An 8,077-nucleotide genomic window follows, 5' to 3' on the forward strand; every position below is an offset into this window, starting at 1 on the left:
AAAGATAAGGCAATTTTATTTGGGCTATTCACATGATATTTTGTTTCCCATTAAATATATGATGTGAACATTTTTACTAAAGGGAAATATTCTATGTTATACATGTCTGATGAAAATTTATATAGTATTTTAAATAATGTTTCTTGGCCTCTTCAGCTAACTTTTAAGTGGATTTTGCAAATGAAAACCAGTATTACTGAGTTTTACATACTCGAACTGCCCAAATGTTAGCTGTTTAAACAGCCAAATAATCAAGTTGCCATTAATAATTTAGTGGAGCCAATTGATGGCTTGTTTGTATTTTATAATTTTATCTTTATACATAGTGATAGATTTAAGTTTAGATAGACATCATTTTGGTATACTGGTACTGTGGTCATTGTCAATGTTTGGATATATTACGATTGTTATAGTGCAATCAAACTTAGATAATTTTAATTTTAAGCACTGATTTATTTAGATCTTTCCTTGTGGAAAAATAAGGTTTGCCTAAGGCTTTTTGCTTTTTTATTTATTGTTTCATTTCTTTATTAGATTAACTTTTGGGAAACAGTCTTAAAATTGGAGAAAATTTCCACATTTTAGGAAAAACAGCTTTCCCCCTGTGGGCCATTTGAGAGTAAATTGCTGACATTATGCCATCACATCTGGTATGTGGGTATTCCCACAAGTCAGGACATTTTATATAACTACTTCATAATCAGAAAGTTAACATCAATACACTTGATCATTTCATTCTCAGTTTCTTTTCAAGTTTTCTTAATTGTCTATAATGTTCTTTGTAGCAGAAGGATCCCATTCAGGTCCATGAATTTCATTTAGTTGTCATGACTCTTTCAGTCTGGAACAGTTCCTCAGTTTTTCTTTGACCTTTATGACCTTAAATCTTTTGAAGAGTAAAGTCCAATAATACAGAATGTCCCTCCATTGGATTTCTCTGAAGTTTTTTTATGATAAGATTTAGATGATAATTTTTTTTTTTGGCAAGAGTATCACAGAAGTTATCCCATGATCTTCTCACTGCATTCTATCAGGTGACCTGCAATTATTATTATTTTTTATTTTCATCTTTTAAGTTCAGGGGTACATGTGCAGGATGTGCAGGATGTCCAGGTTTGTTACATAGGTAAATAGGTGCCATGGTGGTTTGCTGCACAGATCATCCCATCACCTAGGTATTAATAATAGCCCAGCATCCATTAGCTGTTCTTCACGATGCTCTCCCTTCTCTCACCCGCCACCATCCCACATGCCCCTGTGTGTGTTGTTCCCCGCCATGTGTCCATGTGTTCTCATTATTCAGCTCCCACTTGTAAGTGAGAGCATGCAGTATTTCATTTTCTATTTCTGCGTTGGTTTGCTGAGGATAATGTTCTGCAGCTCCACCCATGTCCCTGCAAAGGACATGTCTCATTCCTTTTCATGGCTGCATAGTATTCCATGGTGTATATGTACCACATTTTCTTTATCCAGTTTATCATTGATGGGCTTTTAGGTTGATTCTTTGTCTTTGCTATTGTGAATAGTGCTGCAATGAACATACCTGTGCGTGTATCTTTATACTAGAATTAGTTATATTCCTTTGGGTATATACCAAGTAATGGGATTGCTGGGTTAAATGGTATTTCAGGTTCTAGATCTTTGAGGAATCACCACACTGTCTTCCACACTGGTTGAACTAATTTACACTCCTATCAACAGTGTAAAAGCATTCCTGTTTCTCCATAATCTTGCCAGCATCTTTTCATTTTTTTGAATTATAGCCATTCTGACTGTTGTGAGATGGTGTCTCATTGTGGTTTTGATTTGCATTTCTCAGATGATCAGTGATGTTGAGGTTTTTTTGTTTGTTGGCTGCATGTATGCCTTCTTTTGAAAAGTGTCTGTTTGTGTCCTTTGACCACTTTCTAATGGGGTTGGGTTTTTTTTTCTTGTAAATTTGTTTAAGTTCCTTGTAGATGCTGGATATTAGACCTTTGTCAGATGGATAGAGTGCAAAAATTTTCTCCCATTCTGTAGGTTGTCGGTTTACTCTGTTGATAGTTTCTTAATGCTGTGCAGAAGCTCTTTAGTTTAATTAGATCCCATTTGTCAATTTTGGCTTTTGTTGCAATTGCTTTTGGCATCTTCGTCATGAAATCTTTGCCCTTGCCTGTGTCCTGAATGGCATTGCCTAGGTTTTCTTTCAGGATTTTTATAGTTTTGGGTTGTAGATTTAAGTCTTTAATCCATCTTGAGTTAACTTTTGTATATGGGTTAAGGAAGGGGTCCAGTGTCAATTTGCTGCATATGGCTAGCCAGTTCTCCCAGCACCATTTATTAAATAGGGAATCTTTTCCCCATTGCTTCCTTTTGTCAGGTTTGTCAAAGATCACATGGTTGTAGGTGTGTGGTCTTATTTCTGGGTTCTCTATTCTGTTCCATTGGTCTATGTGTCGGTTCTTGTACCAGCACCATGCTGTTTTGGTTACTGTAGTCTTGTAGTATATTTTGAAGCTGGGTAGCATGATGCCTCTAGCTTTGCTCTTCTTGCTTAGGATTGTCTTGGCTATTTGGGCTCTGTTTTGGTTCCATATGAATTTTAAAATAGCTTTTTCTAGGTCTGTAAAGAATGTCAATAGTAGTTTAATGGGCCTAGCATTTAATTTACAGATTGCCTTGGGCAGTGTGGTCATTTTCATGATATTGATCCTTCCTGTCTGTGAGCATATGTTTTTCCATTTGTTTGTGTCATCTCTGATTTCTTTGAATAATGGTTTATAGTTATCCTTGAAAAGGTCCTTCACTTTTCTTGTTAGCTGTATTCCTAGGTATTATACTCTTCTTGTGGCAATTGTGAATGGGAGTTAATTCATGATTTTTCTCTCGGCTTGCCTGTTGTTGGTGTATAGGAATGCTAGTGACTTTTGCACATTGATTTTGTATCCTGAGACTTTGTTGAAGTTGCTTATCAGCTAAGAAGTTTTTGAGCTGAGATGATGGAGTTTTCTAGATATAGGATCATATCATCTGCAAAGAAAGTTTGACTTCCTGTCTTCCTATTTGAATAGCTTTTCTTTCTTTCTCTTGCCTGATTGCCTTGGTGAGAATTTCTAATACTGTGTTGAATAGGAGTGGTGAGAGAGGGCATCTTTGTCTTGTGTCAGTTTTCAAGGGAATGCTTCCAGGTTTTCAGGTACTCAGGCAACAAATAGCGTTACGAATAGAATAGTACCTCACATCTCAATGCTAATGTTGAACGTAAATGGCCTAAATGCTCCACTTAAAAGATATAGAATGGCAGAATGGGTAAGAATTCACCAACCAAGTTGCTGCTGTCTTCAGGAGACTCACCTAACACATACGGACTCACATAAACTTAAGGCAAAGGGTTGGAAAAAGACACTTCGTCTAAATGGACACATCAAAAGCGAGCAGGAGTAGCTGTTCTTATATCAGACAAAACGGACTTTAAGACAACAGCAGTTTTAAAAAGACAAAGAGGGACATTATATAATGATAAAAGGACTAGTTCAACAGGAAAATATCACAGTCCTAAATATATATGCACCTAATACTGGAGATCCCAAATTTATAAAACAATTACTACTAGACATAAGAAATGAGGTAGTTGGCAACACAATAATAGTGGGGGATGTTAATACTCCGCTGGCAGCACGAGGCAGATCACCAAGACAGAAAGTCAACAAAGAAACAATGGACTTAAACTATACCCTAGAACAAATGGACTTAACAGATACTTACAGAACATTCTACCCAACAAGCATAGAATATACATTGTATACATCAGAACACGGGACATTCTCCAAAATAGACCATATGATAGGGCACAAAACAAGTCTCAGTAAATTTAAGAAAATCAGAATTATATCAAGTACTCTCTCAGACCACAGTGGAATAAAATTGGAAATTAATTCCAAAAGGAACACTCAAAAGCATGCAAATACATGGTAATTAAATAACCTACTCCTGAATGATTGTTGGGTCAACAATGATATCAAGAGGGAAATTTAAAAATTCTTTGAACTGAACGATAATAGTGACACAACCTATCAAAAACTCTGGGATACAGCAAAAGTGGAGCTAAGAAGAAAATTCATAGCATTAAATGCCTATATCAAAAAGTCTGAAAGAGCACAAATAAACAATCTAAGGTCACACCTCACAGAATTGGAGAAACTAGAACAGTCCAAATCCAAACCCAGCAGAAGAAAAGAAATAACAAAATCAGAACAAAACTAAATGAAATTGAAACAAAAAAATACAACAGATAAATGAAACAAAAAGCTGGTTCTTTGAAAAGATAAATAAAATTGATAAGCATTAGCAAGATTAATCAAGAAAAGAAGAGAGAAGCTCCAAATAAGCTGTATTAGAAATGAAATGGGAGATATTACCACTGATACCACAGAAATACAAAAGATTATTCAAGACTACTATGAACATCTTCACATCCATAAACTAGAAAACCTACAGGAGATCGATAAATTCCTGGAAATATACAACCCTCCTGGATTAAATCAGGAAGATATAGAAACTCTGAACAGACCAATCAGAAGCAGCAAGATTGAAAATGGTAATTTAAAAATTGCCAACAACAAAAAAGTCCAGGACCAGATGGATTCACACCTGAATTCTATCAGACATTCAAAGAATTGGTACCCTTCCTATTAACACTATTTCACAGGATAGAGAAAGAGAAATCTTCCCTAAATCATTTGATGAAACCAAAATCACCATGATATGTTTTGGCTCTGTGTCCCCACCCAAATCTCATCTTTTAGCTCCCATAATTCCCACATGTTGTGAGAAGGACCCAGTAGGAGATGATTGAATCATGAGGGCAGGTCTTTTCCATGCTGTTCTCATGACAGTGAGTGAGTGTCACAAGATCTGATGGTTTTAAAAACAGGACTTTCTCTACACAAGCTCTTTCTTTTTGCCTGCTGCCATCCACGTAGGATGTGACTTGCTCTTCCTTGACTCCACCATGACTTTGAGGCCTCCCCAAATATGTGGAACTGTAAGTCAAATAAACCTCTTTCTTTTGTAAATTGCCCCGTCTCAGGTATGTCTTTATCAGCAGTGTGAAAATGGACTAATACACACCCTAATACTGAAACAGACTAATAGACACCCTAATACCAAAAGCAAGGAAGGACATAATGAGAAAAGAAAGCTACAGACCAACATCCCTGATGAGCAGAGATGCAGTAATCCTCAAAAAAATACTAGCTAGCTGAATCTAACAACATATCAAAAAGATAATCCATCATGATCAAGTGGGTTTCATACCAGGGATGCAGGGATGGTTTAACATCTACAAGTCAATAAATGCGATACACTACATAAACAGAATTAAAAAACAAAAGTCACATGATCATCTCAATAGATGCAGAAAAACCACTTGAGAAAATCCAGCATCCTTATTTTATTAAGACCCTCAGCAAAATCAGCATAGAAGGGACATACATTAAGGTAATAAAAGCCATCTATGACAAACCCACAGCCAGCATTATACTGAACAGGGAAAAGTTGAAAGCATTCCTCCTGAAAACTGGAAGAAGACAAGATTGCCCACTTTCTCCACTTCTATTCAACATGGTACTGGAAGTTCTAGCCAGAGCAATCAGACGAGAGAAAGAAATCAAGGGCATCCAAAGTGGTAAAGAAGAAGTCTGCCTATTGCTGTTTCCCAATGATATGATTGTATACCTAGAAAACCCTAAAGACTCATCCAAAAAGCTTCTAGAACTGGTAAATGCATTCAGCAAAGTTTCAGGGTACAGAGTTACACACAAGTGTGCACAAATCCGTAGCTGTGCTATACACCTTCAGCGACCAAGCCAAGAATCAAACCAATAACTCAACCCTTTTTACAATAGCTACAAATAATAATAATAACAATAAAATACTTAGGAATATTCCTAACCAAGGAGGTGAAAGATCTCTGCATGGAAAACTACAAAACACTACTGAAAGAAATCACAGATGACACAAACAAATGGCAGCACATCCCATGCTCATGGATGGGTAGAATCAATATTGTGAAAATGACCATACTGCCAAAAGCAATCTACAAATTTAATCCAATTCCCATCAAAATACCACCATCATTCTTTACAAAATGATGAAAAATAATCCCAAAATTCATATGGAACCAAAAAAGAGCCTACATAGCCAAAAGAAGACTAACCAAAAAGAATAAATCTGGTGACATCACATTACCTAACTTCAAACTATTCTGTAACACCATAGTCACTAAAACAGCATGATACTGGTATAAAAATAGGCACATAGACCAATGGAACAGCATAGAGAACCCAGAATTAAAGCCAAATACTTACAGCCAGCTGATCTTCAACAAAGTGAGGAAAGGACACCCTATTCAACACATAGTGCTGGGATAATTGGCTAGCCACATTTAGGAGAATGAAACTGGATCCTTATCTCTCACCTTATACAAAAATCAACTCAAGATGGATCAAGAACTTAAGACCTGAAGCCTTAAAAATTCTAGAAGATAACATTGGAAAAACCCTTCTAGACATTGGCTTAGGCAAAGACTTCATGACCAAGAAGCTCAAAACAAATGCAACAAAAACAAAAGATAAATAGATGGGACTTAACTAAACTAAAAAGCTTTTGCACAGCAAAAGAAATAATTAGCAGAGTTAACAGACAACACACAGAGTGGGAGAAAATCTTCACAACCTACACATCCAACAAAGGACTAATATTCAGAATCTACAAAGAACTCAAATCAGTAAGAAAAAAACCAATCCCATAAAAAAGTGGGCTAAGGACACGAATAGACAATTCTCAAAAGAAAATATACAAATGGCCAACAAGCATATGGAAAAATGCTCAACATCCCTAATGATCAGGGAAATGCAAATCAAAACCACAACGCGATATCACCTCATTCCTATAAGAATGGCAATATTAAAAAAATTAAAAAATAATAGATGTCAGCATGGATGTGGTGGAAAGGGAACACTTTTATAGTGTTGATACTAATGTAAACTAGTACAACCACTATGGAAAACGGTGTGGAGATTGCTTAAAGAACTAAAAGTAGATCTACCATTTGATCCAACAACCCCATTCCTCAGTATCTACCCAGAGGAAAAGAAGTCATTATACAAAAAAGATACTTGTACACATGTTTATAGCAGCAAAATTCATAATTGTGAAAATATGGAACCAGCCCAAATGCCCATCAATCAATGAGTGGATAAAGAAAACGTGATATGTACACACACACCCCATGGAATACTACTCAGCCATAAAAAGGAGCAAACTGGATGGAATTGGAGACCATTCTTCTAATTGCAGCAACCTGGATGGAATTGGAGACCATTCTTCTAAGTGAAGTAGCTCAAGAATGGAAAACCAAACATCATATGTTCTCATATGTGGGAACTAAGCTATGAGAATGTAAAGGCAGAAGAATGATACAGGGGACTTTGGGGACTCAGCGGAAATGGTGGGAAGGGAGTGAGAAATAAAAGACTACACATTGAGTACAGTGTACACTGCTCGGGTGAGGGATGCACCAAAATCTCAAAAATCACCACTAAAGAACTTATTTATATAACCAAACACCACCTGTTCCTTAAAAACCTATTGAAATAAAAAGTAAATTTAAAAAAACCTCCTGGATTCATTGATTTTTTTGAAGGTTTTTTTGTGTCTCTATTTCAGTTCAGCCCTGATCTTGGTTATTTCTTGTCTTCTGCTAGCTTGGGAGTTTGTTTCCTCTTGGTTCTCTAGTCATTTTAGTTGTAATATTAGGTTGTTAACTTGAGATCTTTCTCTCTTTTTGATGTGGGCATTTAATGCTATAAATTTTCCTCTTAACACTGCTTTAGCTGAGTCCTGGAGATTCTGTTATGTTGTCTCTTTGTTCTAATTAGTTTTAAAACACTTCTTGATCTCTGCCATAATTTTATTATTTACCCCAAAGTCATTCAGGAGCAGATTGTTCAATTTCCATATAGTTGTGTGGTTTTAAGTGAATTTCTTAATCTTGAGTTCTAATTTGATTTTGCTGTGGTCTGAGAGACTCTTTGTT

This window comes from Homo sapiens, chromosome 17, assembly GCF_000001405.40.
Source record: "Homo sapiens chromosome 17, GRCh38.p14 Primary Assembly".
Lineage (NCBI taxonomy): Eukaryota > Metazoa > Chordata > Mammalia > Primates > Hominidae > Homo > Homo sapiens.